Source organism: Homo sapiens, chromosome 1 (assembly GCF_000001405.40).
Source record: "Homo sapiens chromosome 1, GRCh38.p14 Primary Assembly".
Lineage (NCBI taxonomy): Eukaryota > Metazoa > Chordata > Mammalia > Primates > Hominidae > Homo > Homo sapiens.
Window position 1 is genome coordinate 165,543,278 of NC_000001.11, and position 22,137 is coordinate 165,565,414.

Here is a 22,137-nt window from a genome sequence, read left to right on the forward strand (position 1 = left end):
GGCACTCACTATTTTAAAAGTCCTAGGAGAATACGAGTGGTAAAAAAATACTTCTATTGTTGCACTCAGATTTTTTATATATACATTTGGGTTTTGTGTTAGAAGGAGTAGCTTACACTTATTCAAAAACTTTTTAAAAATACACATATATATATATTCAAAATGCAGACAGAGATGTATACATCCTAGGAATAAAGTCTGAAAAGAGTACCACTTTATCAGAGGAATTCCCCTTGCCTCATTTCAAAAGAAACACCCCCTTTCCCATCTTCTTCTGGCAACACTGAAAAACTGGCACCCATCCAAATCAATATCCAAGAAAAGACCCACACTGAGAACTGACCTCAAGCAAGTCACTGCTCATCACTAAGAAAAGGAGTTGGCCTGGAGATGTCCCATGTTCCCTCTATGGCCTGCAGATTAGGGGGTCCAATGTCACCTAATCTACTACAGCTCCATGGGGAGCGGGTACAGATACTATACACATCCACACACTGAACCCAGCCTGGTCTCCAACACACACATGCTGCAGGCCCCTACCCATGAGGCCCCAACTCCCCCAGGGAGTTCCAGCTGGCTTACCAAGACACATAAAACACCCTCACACCACCCAGAAGGAGAGGTGAGGAATCTCTTTCCCTCAGCCAGGCAGTCTCCTGAGGCTGCTGACATCACAAAGGTGTCAACTGGCAACCTCATTGTCATGTGGCTCTCCCCTGGCTCCCCTTCACTTGCAAACGCAGGGAAAGGGTGAGACCTTTCAAAGCTGCCAAGTGGGCAAGCTTCCAGCAGCAGTCTGGGAGCGAGCGACAGAGCCACCAAGCTGGGCGGCAGGGCATTGAGCCTCGCGTTTCAATTTCTGTTCAGTTCTCCTGTAATGGAAAATTGCTTTGCACAAAGCTAAAGTGTTACAGTTCTTTCCAGAGCCCCTCCCCCGCCCCACCCCCCCACCGGCAGCCTTCGGATCAGAGGACAGAGCCCGCAGGAAGGTGAAAGGAGGGTGGTTGTGGCTTCTTACTATGTCCCTTGCTTCAGGCCCTGGCCCTGGGTGGTTACTCTTTTCCTTTGGAATGGGGCTGGTATCAGGGTCAAAGTGTCCAAATAATTGTCTGTGTCAAGCCCAAGAAGTAATCTGCACAGGGAAGCAGTTAACCGAATACCCCCTTGACATACCCCTGAACACCCGGAGGCTGTTCCTGAACGAGAACAGAATCACTAGTTTGCCAGCAATGCATCTAGGACTCCTCAGTGACCTTGTTTATTTGGACTGTCAGAACAACCGGATTCGAGAGGTGATGGATTATACCTTCATCGGGGTCTTCAAACTCATCTACCTTGACCTCAGCTCCAACAACCTAACCTCGATCTCCCCATTCACTTTCTCGGTGCTCAGCAACCTGGTGCAGCTGAACATTGCCAACAACCCTCACCTGTTATCGCTTCACAAGTTCACCTTTGCCAACACCACCTCTTTGAGGTACCTGGACCTCAGAAATACCGGCTTGCAGACCCTGGACAGTGCTGCCTTATACCACCTCACTACTCTGGAGACCCTGTTTCTGAGTGGAAACCCCTGGAAGTGCAACTGCTCTTTCCTGGACTTCGCCATCTTCTTAATAGTGTTCCATATGGACCCCTCAGGTGAGGGCTTGATTGGGTGTGGGGAAGAGGATGTGATTGAAGTGGCTCCAGAAAAGGTGAACTCAAAAGATGGTCAGAATGGGAGAAAAAGTTGGGTGAAGCTGATTGAATGCATTCTTATTACTCTGCAGGGCCCACCCTTGGGTTGACTGGAGTAGCAGTAAGAAAAAGTTCTGAAATAGGAATTCAAAGAGCTGAGTTCTGGTCCCAAACTCAGCACTTACCAGTTGGCTACCCTTGAAAATGTCACCATTTCTCTGAGCCTCAGTTTTCTAATCCATAAAGTGGGGACAATAATATTACCTAAGGCACAGAGTTGCATCAAATATATGATGTGTGTAGAAATGATGAAGTACTCTAATTGCAAAGTGACAAGGTAATATAGGGACACTGTATTCTGTTGGTAAACTGTTTTAATCTGTTTAATTCAGCAACTGAATTTTTCCAGGATCAAAAAGTAAATTCAGTCATTCATATAGGATTATGATATATAGAAAGGAAAGTTTAACATAAAGATGGAAGGAGGGGCACGTGAGCTACCCAGACAGTGAGAGAGGGAGGGAAGAAGGAAGAAAGGGCTTTTGATAGCTGCTTTGTTTTGAAGATGCTGGCCTCCTATGGAAGGAGAGAATGGCATGAATCAATGGAGAAAGGGTCCAGTGCTCACTGTGTCAAGCAGAGAGATTCTAGTCTTACAGGTAGATAGATGCTCAGCTCTTACCTGGGAGATTTCCAAGCTCCTTGCCACCACTCTACCCGCTGTCCTCACCCGGCCTGCCACGGCCCCTGTGCTTCATTCCCTCTTTATCTTAGGGACTTTACTGTCTCATCCTTACCCTCCAATTCTTCTCTCCACCAATAATAGCATTTTTACCCAGGAAAGTCAGAGCTTCAGAAAAATGAGAAATAACTCCTCACAGAAAGTCTGGAGCCACTGATGTAATCCGGCAAAATTGGACTCTGGGTAGAAAATCAAATCCTGTCAAAACCATGTAGTTTCTGTCTTCCCTGGGTGTTTGCCTTTGAAAACGTTTTCATAGACGCAGCTTCATAAAACTCCTGCTGAAACTTCCACCATGAAGTACTGCCCAGGTGGCAATATGCTAGAAATAATCCTGGCCAGAATGACAGACTTCAAGGAGAACTGGGGGAGAGAGAATCAAGTGGTGACAGTAAGTAAAAAACGTGCCCTCCTGGCTTCCCAATGGGTGTGTCTCAAAAAGTCCTCCTGGCAGAGTCTGGACTGGGATGAGGCAAGCAGGGCTTTTAGGAGGCAAAATTTAAGGAGGCACTGAGAGCGAGTGCACTGAGAATAAGACATTGTGAGTCAGTGCCTCCTTAAATGTTGTGCCTTAGACACCTGACCCTACTGCCAGATACCTCAACTTGAGTTGTTAGAATAAATCAAAAGAAACTAACTTTGTCAGACCATCTTCCAACAGGACTAGAATGCAGAAGCAGTTATCTCAGGTAGGTTGCCTTGCCTCTCTATAACACCAACTCTAGGAGGCAGAGATAATGTTTTCTACTTTTCTCCAAAACTGTGATAGTGTCTAGAAAGCACTATCAAAGAGGTTCAATATTAATCATCCTCATGCATGACCTGTGGTCCATAAAGGGGATTCTCCCCTGTCCATGTTCCTGTAAATTAGCCTGTGGAAGGGTGTCATCTTCTTTTGCCCCTCCCCACCATACATGCACTTTTCCTTGAGTATAGCCCATCAGGTTGCAAGTGGGACCTCCCACCCCAGATGACAAGAGTAACATAGCTTGGCTTCCACCCCAGCACCTAAGCCTACCATTTCACCTCCCACTCCATCTCCCTTCATCAGATTTCTGCTTGCACAGTTGTATCTTCTCAGAATTTTCAGGCTGACCACTTTGGACTCCTTGACTCTTCAGTTCAATCCACAGTTGAATGGGATTATAAAGTAGATCTTTTTCACCGCATATTTTCCAAGACATCAGAAAGGAGTGTCTATCTTGTCAAGATTATAAGCTCCTCATGAATGAAGAGTCTGTTTTGTGAGGTAGACAAAGCTTTCATCCCCCAGCCGTGGGACCCCACACACGTACCCACAACTGCTAATTTGCTCATCTCCCTCCATTTTTCCACACATGGTACCTCATTTCCTTTAGCATGAGTGTCACACCAACACTTAAACTTGTGCCCTCAGCCTGTGGAAGAGTCTAGGATTGGTATTTTTAACCCTATCCTTGGATGAGAAAATAGACTCACCTGCCCAAAATCACACAGCTGATAAATGGCAAGAAAGTGACTTGAACCCCTTGATTTCAAATGCAGGTCTTTTTCCACAAGACTATACTATCTCGTAAATCCTCAAATTACATAACTATCATCCTGTAAGTGAGTTTAGTTATAAATATAAGTTATATTATAAACATATGGCTACAGCATCTAAACTTCAGCTTTATTTTCTATCTGGCTGCCGCTTGGAACTGGGAAATGATCTTGAGATCATTTTCATTGGATAATAAGCACTAACCGTCATAAATCCATTGATATGCCTGTACTTCCCTTGCAAACCCAGGTTTCACCCCAGTCTACCCCAACTCCAAAAGGGTGAATCTAACCTTAGCATTTGCTCTCATTTGGGCCTTAATCAGTCTGGTTCTTCCTTCCCATACACACATACAATCACAAATATGCACACAAACACACATGCAAACACAAATACCTACACACACATATGCAAACACAAAGGTTTGTATATACCATATATACATATGTTCATACCATATATAAATACATACTTACATACCCACACGTATATACCATTTATACATACATACCTACTTACGTACCCATCCACATATTACATACACACACATAAATGTACAAGTTCACACTCATATACATGAACAGATACATGCATACCCATAAAGTTGAACACACATACAGTAAAATTCATTAGCTGCTTCTCTTGCCTTCTAGCCAAACCTCAATGTAAGGAAAGGTATTTAATTCATTTGACTCTCAAATGATGGTTCATGGTCTCTGCTACGTGGAAATATCTTTGCTATTGGCAAACATTCTTGGTGAAGTTTCAAACTTAAGCCCACCTATTTATACCACATTTGTTATCAAAATGGTGATCTTTGACATATTCTAGCATGGAGCCCATGTATCTCTCTACATATATCCACATTTCAGGAGATAGGAAGATTTCTATGAAATAACCTGAGTTATCTGGTGTTTATAAAACAGAATCCATTTCACAAACAGACTCATTTTAGGCCCAAGGAAATACTGAACCTTAGCCCTGGGAAATTTTCACTGTAGTGTAATATTAAGGGCAATATGAGAGTGCATATATATTCCTTGAAAAGCAATGCAGTGAAGTAAAGGACTTCCATGCTACAATTCAGTTCATCCATTTATCTATTTAAATACTTATTGAGTGCCTACTATGTGCCAAACAAGTGCTCATGAAGGTAACTAACCAAGAAACCTGAGGTTGCATATGGAGACTTACGTAACTCTAGGTCATCTGTGCCATATCTATGTCATAGTTTAGTTGTGCATAACAGAACAAAACAGGGCAGGACAAACGAGGCCAGCATGTGCCTGCTGGGGTGACAGGCACTTGGGGCAGCCACTTGTCCTCCAAGAGATGAAGGACAGTCACCCTCAGGCAGCAGAGCCCAGTGTTAAGAGCTCAGGTTCTGTAATAAAATTGACGGGTTATAATTCTAGCCCTGATGCTGACTATCTGCAGGATATAAGATAAGTTACTTAACCTCTCTGAACTTTAATTTCCTCATCTTGAATACAAGGATAATAATAGAACCAACATTCCTAGGGCTGTCATAAAATGAAATGAGAACATTTATGAAGTACCATTAGCATTTAAGTTTGACACACCATAAGCAATCAAAAAACAAATGGTTGGTAGATGAGGAAAGGTACAGGATACTAAGAGAGTAGAATACCAGAAAGCAGTCAAGTGTTCCCCTAGATAAGCAGTGGACTTCAGGAAGGCTCAGCATACGTGGTGTTAGAGGACAACGCACCCTGTCTAGAAATATGACTATAGAGATGCAGGCGGGAATATAGATAGAATGTGGGAAGGTGGGTAGCTGCTTCTAAGACTCTAATCCATACAAAAATGGGGCAAGGAGAATCCTGGAGGGACAGGACAAGTCTATGTCACATTCTGACTAAGTTGGGTATTATTAGATAAGTTAAGAACATGGGTTTTCAGACCCTAAGGAACAAAAGCAGAAGCTCAAATCAAGACTTTGTCTCAGCCTGGGCCATGAGACTTGGGGCTGGACCAGCAGCAGCAGGGTGCCTGTTCCTGAGTCACCTGAACCTAGAACCAAAGCTCTACCTAAAGACAAGCTCCACTTCCAGAGGCAGGTGTGGATGTGTAGACTACATTCTAGGGATGTGTAGGCAACTTTCTCTAGCCTCAGGAGAAAGACTTCACCTACATGGTATAACTGAGCAATAAATACTTTTGCCCCAATGTGTCCCTATCCACTTCCTACCACTAAGCTGAAATTAGTCACTAGAGGTTCATCCTTTTGGGTCCCAATTATGTGTTATGATCTTGAAAAAGAAACTGCAAAAATACATGAACTCCTGGGAAGAATAAGACAAGTGTCCTTAAGCCTTTATCAGCTCTCATATCAGAAGGAGGAGTTAATTCTTGGGAATTTGATTAGCTAAGATTAATTCTGCAGCAGTGGAGAACCTTGAAGGAAACAGAGGTGCAAGAAGGAAGTGGAGAGGTCTTAAAAGAAAAGACATGAGGGCAATATCATACGCTTCTTCAAAAAATGTGCCACATTTTTGCTAAGGACCTCCCCCATAGAGGGGTTGTAGAGGAAGCCCAGTGTTTCATTCATTTTATTTTATCATAAGGCTACACTGAACAAGAATATCAAAACTTTCTCAAGTTGGCGAGATCTGGCACCATAATCAAAGGTCTGATTCAAAAGAAACTCTCCAATGGCATACTCACCAGATGTACTGAAAAGTATTCAGTTCTCAAAGAGTTAATGTAGTCATTTTTTTAAACACGAAAGTTACAGCAGAAATGGAGGTGTGTTGTAATGTGTCCCTTGCTAGGGTGCTCTATTGAGCCCTGACCAATACAGACTGAAAACAGACCCACACATTCCATTTCCTTTCTGGCCCAGGTTAGCAAGTGGGAGGACTAATTCCTGGCCAGCACTGTTATTTTCCAGTCATTAATGCTACTTGAAGGTGAGAGTGGTCATTGAGTTCTTCCCAGGATATTTGATTTCCCTCAGGGGACAGGGTTGAATGGCTTTCAGGAGGCTCTCGAAAACTCACTCAAACTCTAAGCTCCAAAACATACAAAACCTAGCCTCATACATCCCATTCCCCTCTACCCGCAAAGTCTGCTCTAATGCTGTCCAATAGAAGTTTCTGCAACAGGGTAAATAGTCTATATATATGGTGTCGGATACAGTAGTCACTAGCCGCATGTGGCCATTGAGCTCTTGAAATTTGGCTAGAACAAATGAACTGAATTTTTATTTTATTTTATTTCAATACATTTAAATAGCCACCTAAGGCTACTGGCTACCATACTGGTTAGGGTAGCCTTTTAACATAGGATGTTTAAGCTGGAACTTTAGAATCCAGAGTCACAGGTAAGTGGCTATAGAGAAAAGCCCAGCACAGAGATATCCTGACATCCAAGTTCAATGTTTTTCCCTGATGCCATGATATTTCTTTGCTGTCAAGCACATCATGATCCATTTAACTCTGAAACATTTATTGTATATTCATTATGTCCCCAACATTGCATTATAATGCTGGGGTGGCTGTTTCACCGAGAAAAAAAGTCATAATTTTTGTCTTGAATAAGATAATCTAGGATACGAGAAACAGAAAATAGAATTGAAAGCCAGGAAGCCCTGTCTTGATCCCAGAAATGCCACTGTGTGATATGGGGAAACTCACTTTCCTTCTTCAAGAGTCACTTTTCTTGTCCTTAAAATAAAGGATTTGGGTTAGAGATCCTCAAAGGCCTCCTATAGCTGGTAGCCTATGGACCTAAATAGAAAGATAAGCACACAGGAGGTGAGAGGAGAACAGCGCTCAGCAGGCAAGGTCCCAGGTGAGCAAGTGCAGAGTGGCAAGTGCTGAGGCGAAGGTGTTCCCAGTGATGAGGGCTACATCACATAATTAGGAAGTTCATTTAAGAAACAGATGCCTCTAACTCCTGTACTCTCCCACCTCCTATATTAAGCACCCTCAACTTCACTAAAACAATGCCTCCACCCCAAGAAACTCATTGCCCCAGACTTTCCTCCCAGGCCAGACCTGCTCAAACAGTGCTTCTCAAACTCTAATGAGCACAAGAATCCCAGGTCCTATGCCCTGAGGTTCTGATTCAGTCAACTCTTCATGCCGGTTGTCCTTAGGCCACTTTTCAGAAACCCTAGAACAGTGGCCTGTGTTCTGGACCTTCAGTGGCTGTTCCAATTAGTAAATGAATCGATTTGCTCTGAGATGCTAATGGCTAGTGTTTTGAAATATCCCCTCAGGGAGCATTTGCAATTTGACAGGGAACAACCAGAAACAGTGAGAATTCAGAAAGTGACAGGCTACCAGGGGCTAGAGTGGGGCGGTTTGAGGACAGAGAGTCCCCTCTGTGTCAGCTCTGATAGCCTTAGCCAGTACTAAATGAGCCTGATGGTGGGGCCCACACATCAGAGGAGCTTGAGCAAGGGTGCTGCAGAGGCAGTGGACAAAGCCACTCAGGGCCATCTGCAGGGAGCAGATGGGTTGAGTCATGTGCTGCTTCAGGTCCAAGTCATTTTGAGGGCGTTTTGAGCAGAGAACATCTTAGTTTCATTACGAGGTTATATCATCCTGTATTCAAGACTGTTGTAATGGGATAATGGCCCCATTTCTACCTACCAAGTACAAAGTCATCCACAACTGTGCCCAAACTTAGATTTCCGGAATGAATTCAGGTCCTCACGTTATTCCACTATCAATGCTTACCCATGTCCTCCATCAGGGAAATTAAAATAAAGACCAAAGGCTAAAAAAGAAAAAAAAAAAAAAAAGGCTGGGCAACCAGCAGCTCCAAGGCTTCCAAGGCTGTTGAAAGCCAGAACAGCAGCCTCCTGAGGGCAAGGAGGGGGCTGAGAGGGGTGCAACTGAGTCAGTGATCCCTAAGCCACCCAGAAAATCCAAGAAGGGATAGGAGCAGCAAGCATGGGACATTTAGGAACCCCTGGGTGATGCTGACACACTCCCTGACTCAGGCCAATTGGGATCCCTGAGAGTAGGTGATCGAAGGTTACTCCAAGCTCAGAAATGCCAGATTTCTACACCTGGCCCCTCAGGTCACCCAGCATCACTCAGGACTCTGAAAAACAGCAGTTCAAGTCTGGCTAAAGCAGCCAACCTCAGTTTGCTCATCTTTAAAGGTGAAGAGCTCCTCATCCTGGAGGTAATCCTACAAAGGATGGATGTGGCTAGAGAAAAGAATGGGGGCCCAGCTAGGAAGGGCCTTGAATGGTTTTCTGGGGAACATGCAATATATCCTAAGAAGTCTTGGGAGGCAAGTGAGCTGGAGGTAAGGCTAGGAAGGAAGCTCCCGTAGGCGTTCAAGCCAGACAGTATGGCAGCCTATGGCAACAGTGAGGAGGAGAGGTGTAGACATTTGAGAAGGAATCATTTAGAAGGCAGAAGCAACAGGATTTGGGACTGAACTAGCTCCTCTCATAGTTTCTTGTGCACCCTTTGTAACTTCTGGCACAATTCTAATTAATAAATGTGTATTCATTTAACATTTGTCTTCCCTGATAGACCGGAAGCTCTATGACAGCAGATCTGGATCTTCGGAAACAAGCACAGGCCTGACACAGAGAAAATGCTCAACTAGTGTTTCCTGAGTGAATGAATGAGATACAGAAAATATAGAAAAGGGAAAAATCAATGGTAGCTCCCAAGACTTTGGCTTGGACAGTGTGGGGGCTTTGCTGACATAAACACACTTGGAGGAGGGCAGTGAGGAAGTCAGGCTAGAAGTCAAGTCCCATCTTGACCTTACTGAGTGGGAAGTCCCTGTAAAACACTAGGCATTTGTATGTTCTGACCTGAAATTCAGAATAGAGGACAGGGCATAAAATATACATATATTTGGGGATCATCAACTTACTAGTGATCACTGAAACCTAACAGAAGATGAGATCAATCAGGAAAAAGAGTTTCAAGTGAGGATAATAAGGGCCAAGTACAGAAGCTTTGGGGAATGCAACATACTAAAGGGTCAAGTAAGAAAGAGCAACTCATGTAGGACAGCAGGAGCCCCCAGACAAAGGAAATTAGAACAGGATAAATTCATGGAAGCCAAAGAGTTCCAAAAAGTGGGAGCAGGTCAGATAAGGACAGAAAACTGTCCATCAGATTTAGCACCAGGGATCCCTGATGTCTTGGGCAGTTCTGCTGGCATGATGAGAGTGAACACCAATCCATAATGGGCTATGAACTGAACATAAAAGGTGTGAAGGAGTAAACCATGTAAACTACTCTTCTAGAAAGCATGGCTGTGGACTGAAGGGAATAGGGTGCTAGTTGGAGAGAAAACAAATGAAGAAGGAGGATTTTTAGGAGAAAAGAGATCCAACCATGTGTTTATCTGCTGATGGAAAGAGTCGATGCAGAGAAAAAGGACAAAGATACAAGAAAGAGGGGAAGTCATTGGTGGGGTAAAGTCCCTGAGAGGACAGAAATGGATGGATGATCTCCAAGGGGTAATCCTTGAAAGGGGAGTGGCACCCCCTCTGCCCTCTGGGACTGCAGAGAAGGAGGCGAGGGTAAACATAGATGGGGGTGACTGTAATAACAGGGGACAAATACAATTGAGGGGCCCAATTGGTGCCTGTATTTCTCTTTCAGTGAGGTGAAAGACAAAAAATGACTATATATCTATAAAGTACACATTTTCATGTAATGTTTTCTATGAAGCTTCCATAACACCAATCCAATTAGGCGACTATAAAATATCCATTGTCCTTGAGATGCTCACATCCTAGTTGAGCAGGCAACACCAAGGTGGGCTGTGGATGCAGGCCACCTGTCATTTCATCCTGCCTCTGTCACTTGCCGACTACTTGACTGTGGGCAACAATCTCCATCCAACCCAAGTCCTCATGTGCAAAATGCAGATAAAATAGTGCCTATTTCCTCAAGTTGTGATAATTAAATGAAAAAACCCACATGAAGATTTTAGAACTGCACACAGTACATGTTCAATTAATGCTAGCTGTCGTTGTTGTTACAAATTCTTTGCCTGGCAGTGATTCTGAGTGTCACACGAGATGCAGAGGACGGGTAAAGCAATGTGGGTTTGCAGAAACAAACAGGGTGAGCAGAGGCAAGGAGTTCAACTTGGGGGAGCCAGAGCTCTTGAGGGGGACGTTAAAGCTTCCAAGATGATGTCATAAAAAACACCTAATCTGCTGCATGACCCATATGCAATGATAGGTGGTTGTTGTTGTTGTTGTTGTTGTTGTTTTTTGGAGGCAGACTCTTGCTGCTCTGTTGCCCAGGCTGGAGTGCAGTGGTGCAATCCCAGCTCACTGCAGCCTTGACTTACCAGGCTGGGGTGATCCTCAGCATCCCCAGGAGCTGGGACTATAAGTATGTGCCACCATGCTTAGACAAATTTTTATTTTTAGTAGAGATGGATTTTGCCACATTGGCCAGGCTGGTCTGGAACTCCTGACCTCAAGTGATCCACCCACCTTGGCCTTCCAAAGTGCTGGGAGGTGTGAGCCACTGCACCCGGCCAATGATAGCTTTTTTGATCACACAGAAGAATTTGGCCTTCTCCTCAACCCAAATAAGAGAATAACTAAAAATCCAATGCATCCAATTAAAACATAGTTAAGATGGAATTAAAGTCATGTTAGACAAACCCTTGTAATTTTCAATGCATTTTCTTCTAACAGCCAAGATGCTTTGGTCACAGCATTTGGCTGAGATGAGGCACAGGCATTGTCATCCCTATTTGACATTTACAAAGAGGTAAGGAGCCCAGACTGGGATCTGAGTACATGCATTCACTGACAGTTACTGAGCACCAATCAGATGCCAGCCGCTTGGCCAGGCACGGGGCATACTGGTGTGAACAGAAACAGACATGCTCTCATGAAACTTACATTCTAGTGGGAGAAGAAGACAATAAATAAATTGACATATGACATAATGTCAAATAACAAGTGCCATGGAGGAAAATAAGAGAGGGGAAGAGAAGAGTGTGCCTGAGATTGAGAACAAGGCAGATACTTCAGGCTCAGTGGGCCTGCGGAGGTGGTTTTGAGCAGAGAACTGAAATAAAGTGAGAGAGAAGCCAAGGAAATATTACAAGGGGTGGAAGAAGGTCTTTCTAGACCAAGGGGAGAACGAACACAAAGGCTCTGGGCTGGAATAGAAAGGGAATATGGCTGGAGCAGAGTGAAGGAAAAGGAGAAAGGGAAGAAATGAGATAGAAAATTACTGAGGCCAGGTCACGTAGGGTAGATAGGCCATGGAGAGGCTTTTGATTTTATTCTAAGTGTGATGGGAAGTCATGGAAGGATTTTGAGCAGGGAAGTGACATGATCTGTAATTACAGATTGCTCCCACTGCTGTCTCCAGATAGAGATTGTAGGAAAAAGCAAGGACACACATTCAGAGGCCAACACAGTTCAGGCAAAAGAGGACACTGGCTGGGACCAGGGCAATGGTCCAGGTAATTAGAAGAGGTAAGAATCAGGATACATTTTGAAGGTAGGACTAGCAGGGTTTGCTTATGATCTGAACATGTAATGTGAAAGAGGAAGCAAACAATTTCTGCCTGATGTTTCTGCCTGGTGAACTGGTGAATGATGGTGCCCTTCGGCTCCTGGGGTTTCACAATGGTTTGTTATCCATGAGGACAACTGTCTGCTCTCTGGATTTTTCTGAGCAGATGGGTAGTTATTAAGCAGGCTCAGCTCTAGGCCAAACTGAGAAGAAACTAGAAGAAAAAAATTTAATTTTTAACTTCCAAGAAGAACCTGGTCCCAGCCGCCAGCCCCACCATGCAGCTTGTTCCCCTCACCCCACCAAAAGGTGGTAGCAGGGGGCTACCCCTGAGTAGGGATTAAGTCATTTGCTTCTTTTTCAGAAAACTTTACACTTTGAGTGTTATTTTATTGGTGAAATGGAATGTTTCATCTCCCACTGACAGAGTTCTGGGTACTGACAAGCCCATGAGAAGGAATTATGAGAAAAAGAAAGCTTTTTGCCTCTGAATCATGCCCATTTGCAACCAGTTATACACGAGACCAGTTCTGTAACCTAAAACACCTGTAAAGCACAGGAATAATCAGGTTGAACTTGCTAAACGTCAAGGTCTCATCTCCATGTTCCATGAGTCTATGAATCACTTTTAACCTTTAAAAATCTATAGACTCTATATACAAGGGGGGGAAATTGTGAATACCAGATAAGAATTATACTTTGCACAAGCCCAAATAACACAAATCCTTAAGGTTTTAAGGTGCCTAGGATGGATTAGACCAGGAGTCAGCACACACTTTCCAGAAAAGGCCAATAGTAAATATTCTAGGCTTTGTGGGTCTTCATTGCACCTACTCAACATTGCCATTAAGGTGAAGGCAGCATTAGAAAATATGCAAAAGGATGGGAAAGCTGTGTTCCAATAAAACTTTGTTTACAAAACAGCAGGCTGGATTTGGCCCACAGGTTGTAGTTTGCTGACCCCTGGCTTATGCCATCATTGCATGACAGCTGGGCAATGAGTAAGTGGAGCTCCAGAAAGGCAAAGGTAGAAGCCAGTGCCAGGGCTTGAAATTCTCATAGGTTTGTGCATGAGGATCTGAGAAGGGGCCTTGTTGGCCAGTTGGCTTTGGTGTTCTTGAGCAGTCATATTGCCCAACCTAGGTTTCCTTCTAGGGAATCATCTCCTCTGGGCACCTGTAGTACGACAGAATATATAATAGTGATCCCTTCATATTCCATTTGGGGAACCTGTCCTAAACAACAGGCCAAAGACATCAGAGTTTTAAAAGTGCTATAGGAGATCAGACCAATAATCCACCCTTGCATTCATTTATTGAGCACCTACTGTGTGCCAGGCACTAAGGATACAAGAGTACAGAAAAAGGGTCTCTGCTCTCAAACAGTTCTCGAAAAGTAATTTGGAAATAATAATAATTACCTTTTGATATCATGTCTGCAGCAGTTTGTCCTCATACTCTTACCCTTGTTTCCTTCTCTTCAGTCTCACAGGACAGAGGAGGTGCTCTTCCCAGTTCAAGGCTTATACCTCCATTTGGTCCTAGAGAGCATCCATTCCTGCCTCCTTGGAGCTTCACTTAGCTCACTGAACCCTCCCCAGACTCTCATAGGGATTGGTACTCACCCAGTGTAGAGTGTCCGAGGCAGTCCAAGGTCAGCTGACCCACCTATGGTATTCTACCACTCAGGTTCCCTTTCCTCCACCTGAGCATTACGTCAGGGACAGTGAGCCCAAGGGGTTTGAATAACAATCAATTCATTCAACAAATACGCCCTGTGCTCTAGCATCCTGATAGACGTCAGTGAACAAAACAGACAAAAAATTCTTATGCTCATAGTATCTGTAATCTAATGAGTGGAGTCAGAAAAATGAATAGGTGGCAAATCAATTTCCTTGACAAAAACATAATTTAGCTTGCAAAAAAATGGAAGGCAAAGCACTGTACATCTAGTGATATTTGGGTGGACTGGGGCCTAAAAGAAAAAATGGGGGAATTAGGCTTTTCTCTAGATCCAGGGTAGAAGTTGACGAAGTGCTTGACAAGGTGCATAAAGCTGATAGAAACATAATTTCCTCACTGAGAAGTAATTGCAATGCCTTCAGATTCCACCCTCTTGCTTTCCATTGCCACTGCCTAGATGCTCACCCCTCCAGTCAGCCCAGAAGGTTCCTGAGCAAGCTGCCACAGGGGCTCGAGCAACCTGCCCATGGCCTGGCTCCTTTGGGGGCACCAAGGCCCTGGGAACCTGCAGCACAGCCCTGGGCAGAACTGGGGTCCCTCCTGAAGACCAAGAAAAGAACCATTTCCCCTTATAACTGGCGGGTTCAATACTGTTTTCTGAAAGAGAGGCCTCCTTGGCTCCTACACTAATAGGTGTGGTTCCAGGACCCAGACACCGTAGTTCTTCCATGCATCTGATTCTGACAAAGAGGTTTTCTGCCTTTGAGCAATATGTTGTGTACAGAAATAAACCAGGTGGTGGTTTATGTTTCCTTAGGAACTATTTGCAATAAGAAGTTCAATATTAATGACATCTGTAGTTAATGCCTGGCCCACTGGAGTGAGGCTGAGGAAAGGGATGGCATAAAGTTGGGTCACCTGTCTATAAAATTAATGGAAGCTCCTGGAGTTGTGCAGTGCACAGCATGTAAAACAGTACTTGCCGACCCCCTGTGTGAGAGGCAAGGAAATTAAGAAAGCCAGAGAAGGAAGAACTGATGTATAGTTTATTCATTCCATAGCATGGGAATAATTAAAACTACCCTGTGGGGTGATCAAAAGTAGAGCTTAGAGCTTAATTTTGTAAAGCATCTCATATAGTGCCTAGCACATGTCAGGCACTCCAGGATCAGTAGATGGGTATAAAACCTCTGAAGTCATCATACTAGAATAGTAAAAGAAGGTATGGTTAACGAGCTAAAGAAAAGGAAGTTAAATGATTTTTTTAAAAAAAGGAGGCAACAGGTTAGAAAAAGGACATGAAATAAGTGAGACAAATAAAAAAATAGATACTAGGTATAAATCCAAATATATCAGTAATTACATTTAATGTCAATGGGCTTATTAAAATACAAAGTTTGCTAGCTTGGATGAAAAACAAAACCCAGCTACATACTGCTTACAAAAATATACCTTAAATATAGGAACATAGAAAGATTAAAAGTAAACGGACGGAAGAAGATACACAATGCAAACACTAACCAAAAGAATTTCAATGCAGCCATACTAATGTTAAACAAAGTAAACTTTAAGGCAAGAAGCATTACTAGAGATAATGAGAGATATTGGTCAATGATAGAAGGGTAATTCTACCAGGAAGACCTAACAATTATAACTTTGTATGCACCTAATAACACAGCTTTAAAATTTGTAAAGTGAAGGCCAGGTGTGGTGGCTCACGCCTGTAATCCCAGCACTTTGGGAGGCAAAGGCAGGAGGATCACCTGAGGTCAGGAGTCCGAGACCAGCCTGGCCAACATGGTGAAATCCCATCTCTACTAAAAATATAAAAATTAGCTGGGCGTGGTGGCGTGTGCCTGTAATCTCAGCTACTCAGGAGGCTGAGGCAGGAGAACCACTTGAACCTGGGAGGCAGAGGTTGCAGTGAGCCAAGATCATGCCACTACACTCCAGCCTGGGCAACAAGAGTGAAACTCTGTCTCAAAAAAAAAAAATTGTGAAGCAAAACTTGAAAGAACTATATGGAGCAGACCAATGCACAGTAAAAACTGGTAATTTTAAATAATTAGAGGAACTAGTAGACGATTGTCTAATAATAACTAAGAGACAATAGATGTTTATAAATAAAAAGTCAATAAGGGTATAGAAAATCAGTACACCACCACAACCTAACTGACATGCATAGAACAATGTACTCAACAAAGAATACAGTAAATCCTAACTTAATATCCATAGGTTCTTAGAAACTGCCACTTTAAGCAAAATGACATATAGCAAAGCCAACTCTACCATAGGCTAATTGATAGAAGCAAGAGTTAAGTTTCTAAAGCTTATTTCTAGTCACAAAAACATCATCAAACTTCTAATAAAGATCAAAAAACCCTTCTAATATTTAGCATTGAAATATGAAACATACATACATTTAAGAAAGATTTATACAAACAAGTAAGATAATATTTGCCTAATTATTTCAGTTCAGGGTTGTGAGTGGCTGGAGCCTATCTTGGCAGCTCAGGGTGTAAGGTGGGAAGCAGCCCTGGCCAGGACACCATTCCATTGGGGGCCATGCATACACATACTCACACATACTTAGACTGGCACAATCTAGACACACCAGTCCACCTAATATGCACATCTTTGAGATGTGGGAAGAAACCAGGGCACCTGGAGAAAACCTGTCCAGACATGGGGAGCGCACACAAACTCCATACAGACAGTGGCCCTGGCTGGGAATACTTTTTTTCTCATTAACATTGTAACAAAATGACATAGAATGAAATAATGTTGTTAGAGGATCTACTGTATAATATATTTGTAGCACATGGAAAATGTACCAAAATTGACCTTACATTCAGCCATATAGCAAATTCTCAAGAAATTTCAAAGGATCAGAGTGTTTCTATAGAATTAAACCAGAATAGTAGGATTAACCTAGAATCTCATAATTTAAAAAAGTACCAGAACATCCCTCAATTTTACAAATTACACAATTCAGTCAATGAATGATAGCTCTTATTAACAAGAACAATAATGATCAGACATGGTTTATACCTTTAAGAGCTAAAAGTCTACCTGGTAGGGGAGAAAGGATGCACATTGTAAATAACCATCATGCAAGATAGAATGTGATAGGTACTTAAGAATGACACAAGGAAATGCTAGGGATGAGTTCACGAGTGGGAACAATCACATGTCCTCTGAGCTCTGAGGACGGGGTGGTTGAGGGAGGTCTCCCTGGAATAGACGCATTTAGGCTAGATCTTAAAAGATGGGAAGAACATGATCCTGCAAAACTAGGGGTATGAGGCATTTGACAAAAAAGGAGCAGTGTAACAAAGTAACTATAGATGAGGGCAAGGGTGAGGTGTAATCAAGGCATAATATGTAGTTTAATTTAACTGGAGCAAAGGTTACCAGCAGTGCTGAGAAGGAGGGAAGGGGAGAAGGGTAGCTGCTGAGGGGCTCTGAATGCCAGGCCAAATGGTCTGGGTGTTATTCTGAGGTTCACAGGAGGTCAGAGGACTGTTTTGAGCCAGAGTGTGACCGAGAAGAGCTGTACTTGGGGAAGGCAATTTGGCAGAAGTGTGTGAAATGGCCCCGAGCTGGGAAAAGGAAACAATGGAGATAGGGAGCCCGGGAGGGGAGAGCCCAAATCTTGGCAGTGACTGCGACTGGGAAGAGGGGGAGATAATTCAGTGGGAGAGAAACCCAGGCCTCCCTCCCAACAAAGCCACCCACATCCCTCACTTAGCAGCCTAACAATGCATTAAAATCACTGCCTAATTGCTCCTTTCAAAGTTAATGCTCCAAAATGGGGAAACGTGTGTGATGTTTAGTCTCATCTCTGCCGCCCAAGCTGCAATTTGAAAGCCCAATCTTTTTAAAAATAGAATGAGATAAACCCCCCTAGACACATCCCAGACCCTCCGAATCCCATGTTTGCCTTTCTCAAATACATCTTTCTTTGAAGATTCATGTGTCTCCCACAGTTTGGGCAGGTGACCTGAGCTCTCTCTCGATAGAATTCCTGGAGAGCTCCCAGGCGCCTCCCCTGCTCATGGGAGCCCCATGCCCAGGCCTCCTGGGCAAAGCCACAGAGGTCCTCAAGCCAGGCTGACTAGAAAGAGGTACAGAGGCATAATTGTGTTCCTGCAACTTCAGCCCTCAACTCCTTTCCCTCTACTTGAGAGCTCTCTGGTGGGGCAGGTTTGCCCTGAGGGCCACCATCCCACACTGTCTAGAGAGAGGCTTCTTCCTCTCCCTTCCTCTGTAATCATTACAAACAGTGGATATGACACAGTTCGTGCACTGGCTTCCCCTCTTGTGTCTAAAAGCTTGAGTCCTAAACAGCATTACACACTGCACACCATCTTCCTGAACAAAACAAAATGACTTTGCTGTAGGTGCATTGATACAGAAGCAAGAGGCAAGTATTGGTGTCCGGGTGAAGAGGACTGCTCTTTCCAGCCACCCATAAGCCCAAATGCCTTCTCCCCAGCCAACTTACTTCTGTACTTTTTCTTTGAATGCTGCTTCCAGCCCCCATTAGGATTTACCTAACTGAACCTGATTTTCCTAACATCCTGGGTCACCAAGGATAGTGATGTTTTCACTAGTCAGGCAGTTCCTGCCCTGAAGTTTAGAGGAAACTCCTCTCCACAATAGCTCCTGTTTGCAAATCCCACTTACGCAAAGCAAGCTCACACTGGCTTTCTGTCTTCTGTCTTCTATCTTCTATCTAGATTCTGCAGTTATCTAAAACCTTCAAGTTATGGGATCTCCTGAATCTCAGTTTCCTTATTTGTAAGACAAGGAAAATAATATTATGTGCATCAAGGTTATTATTAGAATTAAATGAGATATTTGTAAATAACTTAGTGCATAGTAAGCACTTAGCAAATACTGGCTGCTATTATAATTTTGATTATGGTTGTCTCAAGCCCTGAGCCGGAGCTCAGTGATCTAGTGTGTGCTGGATACATTCACCTGAGCACATCACACAAGCACTCAGCCTCAGCATGGAAGAGTATATGGAGTTAGAAAAATGTAGGGGCAGTGATAGGGCTCCGAGGATTCCGTGCTTGAGGCACAATCACCTGTGCCTTCTTACCTATGTCAGTCAGTTCTCTCAACTACCCTGAGAAGTGTCATTCTTTGCACTGGTAAGATGAGGAAACGGAATTCAGAGACAGAATCCGGTATCCTGCTGAAGTTTACAAAATTAGCAAGTAACAGAATCTGGATTAGAAGCCTGGCCTGTCTAGCTCCAGAGCCCACTTTTCTTTCTGTTATATAGTGAAGGCCATGGCGCTACATATGGGGAGGTGCTCAGAGAAGTAGCCAGGAAGCTGAGTCAGCTACTAAGACTGACTGAAGACTCATGTCGATGACATAATCAGCCAGTGATGGCCAACATCACCACCAAGAAGCAGAACTGCTTTCCCTATTGGCAACCTGTTTACCCTGGGCTCCCCTGACTTGCTCCGGGGGGAAAGTGGTGAGCGGGTAGAACACACAGTAAACATTTCAGGAGAATCTCGTCTCCTGAAGCCTATAGTTGAGTGGCTTGCAATGCTCTCGGGGGATGCTAGTGATGCCAGGTTGGACTCAGCTACTGCTAAAGAGAAAGGGACAAGGTGAAGGGAAAGTCGGGATGGAGGCAAGGGAGGGGCAAGAGGGAGGTGACTGGTAAAGAACAGAGAGATGTCAACACTCCATGGCAATCTTGCCTAACCTTCCAACCTCCCCACCCCTGTTGTGGCCTCTCCTTCCTTGAGCATCCTTAAGAAGCATTTTCATGGCCTGAATGCAGCAAAGCCTGGGGACAAGGAACAGTCCAGGCCCAGTACTTCTCAAACTCCAATGTGCAACAGATACCCTGAAGGTCTTGTTGAGATGCAGATTTGGATTCAGGAGGTCACAGGTGGGTCCTGAGATTCTGCATTTCTAACAAGGTCCAGGTGATGTCGATGCTGCTGGCCCACAGACCACACTTGGAGCACTGAGGGTGCAGATGGTCCCTCCTGATCCCCTTTGGCCTTAGGACGCTGGGAGTCACGCTGTTTCAGCACCCTGCCTGCTGTGTTTTTCTTCTTAGATGATCTAAATGCCACATGTGTGGAGCCCACAGAGCTGACAGGGTGGCCCATCACCCGGGTGGGGAACCCACTCCGATACATGTGCATCACGCACCTGGACCACAAAGACTACATCTTCCTGCTGCTCATCGGCTTCTGCATCTTCGCCGCGGGAACTGTGGCTGCCTGGCTCACAGGTGTGTGTGCTGTGCTCTACCAGAACACCCGCCACAAGTCGAGTGAAGAAGATGAGGACGAGGCCGGGACTAGGGTGGAAGTCAGCCGGCGGATTTTTCAAACCCAGACGAGCTCGGTCCAGGAGTTCCCTCAGCTTATTTAGTTGCCAGAGACCACTATCTTATGTGCCTCCCCCAGGCTCCCTGCTTTCTCTCTTGCCCTCCCCATCCCACCACCTTGGAGCTGTCATAGAGATTGAAACCTTCTAGTAAAATAAATAAAATCTCTGATGGCCATTTCACAGGTTGGTCCCTTCCCACTGCACCAGCCCGAGGATGATTCCTTGAGCTCAGCAGGATGGGGTAGAACAAAATCTAGAAACGTTGTTGGATGCACCTAAATACCGAGAAAGTCTACCCCAAAAGTAAGCCATCTCATGTTTAATAAGTACATATTATGTCCCCAAACTAAGTGCTGGAGGGATGGATACAAGGAATACAAGATTTAAGATCTTCCCTAAAGAGCAAACAATTTAAGTGGAAGTGAAGATTAATATTAATCAAATGGAGAAAAGTATAAGACAATGATAAGAACTAACATTAATGGAATGTGTCCATCCATGTACCATCTTCACACTCCATCTTGTAGTTATCACAGCCATCCTATAATATTGATATTATTTTACCGTGAAAATTTGAGGCCTGAACAAGTTAAACAACTGATTGAGGTCACCCAACTGGTAAGTAACACAGCCTCCCAAAGTCCATGTTCTTTCCTTTACATGAAATATAAATATTTAGCAGCACAACCAAGGGTTCATCATGTAAGCCTGGCCACACAAAGGTGGCCACCACCCAGCGGGTCCATCCCAAGTACCCAGCATTGTGCCCAGCTTTATGCACATTTCCCCCTGGGCTAATGTGCGTGACAACAAGGTCAGGTGGTCATTGTCACCATCGTTTTCCTGAGGCATGGAGAGATGAAGTCACCAGCTCAAGATCACATAGTTGGTAAGAGCAGAGCAACTGCTGGACCCATGCCAAAGTCCATGCCCTCTCACTACAAGCTACTGTTTATCACTGAGCACTAAACAGAATAGCCAAGTGTACACAAGCATGTCCTGCGCTCAGGGACATGTGGCAAAGGGAGTGAAGAGAGGGTTGGCTCAACCCAGGCCCCAAGACCCATTCCAGGTTTTCCTTTTTGCTCTACTCAGATCAAATTATACTCATGTTCAAGACTCAGATCAAACCCCCACCCATGAAACTAGCTGTCTCTAAACCCCCAACCAGACCCGTTTTTACATCTGCACTTCCACTGTGAATTGCATGTGACTCTAATCACCACTTGCCCTCCAGTTTGTTTGGTGCAATGCTTAAGAGCATGGGTCCAGACTCAGGAGCTGGATCTCTATCCCCAGTTCTGCACTTAGCACTGTGTGAACTTGGGCTTCCTACTTATAATGACCTTGAGAGCAGAGACCATTTGCCTTCAGTGTTCTCTATTGACACAGCATATAGAGTGATAACTTCCACAAAATAAGTGTTTATTACTGCATTCTATTTAAATCCCAACCCACCAATCATTCCTACTTTGTTATCCTGAACTAAGAGTGACCATGGGCAAGTTATTTAACTTTTGTGTGTCTCAGTTTCTTCATCTGTAAGTGGCAATCACTGCAGTGCTTATATAGGGATATTTTGAGAATACAATGAATATCAATTATAATAAGAATTTATTTTAATACACTTTT

The 22,137-nt window shown here is 44.0% G+C and overlaps 1 protein-coding gene and 1 long non-coding RNA gene across 2 annotated transcripts in view, besides 1 other annotated feature; one reads left to right on the forward strand and one right to left on the reverse strand.

Annotated features, from left to right (window-relative positions):
- Positions 1 to 22,137, reverse strand: part of LRRC52-AS1 (LRRC52 antisense RNA 1) — a 105,314-nt gene that overhangs the window by 66,436 nt on the left and 16,741 nt on the right. The window lies entirely within an intron of this gene.
- LRRC52 (leucine rich repeat containing 52) lies at positions 723 to 20,680 on the forward strand. Its single transcript, NM_001005214.4, has 2 exons — positions 723 to 1,641; positions 20,228 to 20,680. The coding sequence occupies exons 1-2, from the start codon at positions 1,020 to 1,022 to the stop codon at positions 20,545 to 20,547; spliced, it is 942 nt and encodes a 313-aa protein (NP_001005214.2). The 5' UTR covers positions 723 to 1,019; the 3' UTR covers positions 20,548 to 20,680.
- Positions 17,633 to 18,162: an enhancer, noted in NCBI's record as "OCT4-NANOG hESC enhancer chr1:165530147-165530676 (GRCh37/hg19 assembly coordinates)". NCBI's record gives its function as "activates a minimal SCP1, AML or CMV promoter by ChIP-STARR-seq in naive and primed H9 embryonic stem cells {active_cell/tissue: H9 hESC(naive and primed)}" and the evidence as "EXISTENCE:reporter gene assay evidence [ECO:0000049][PMID:30033119]".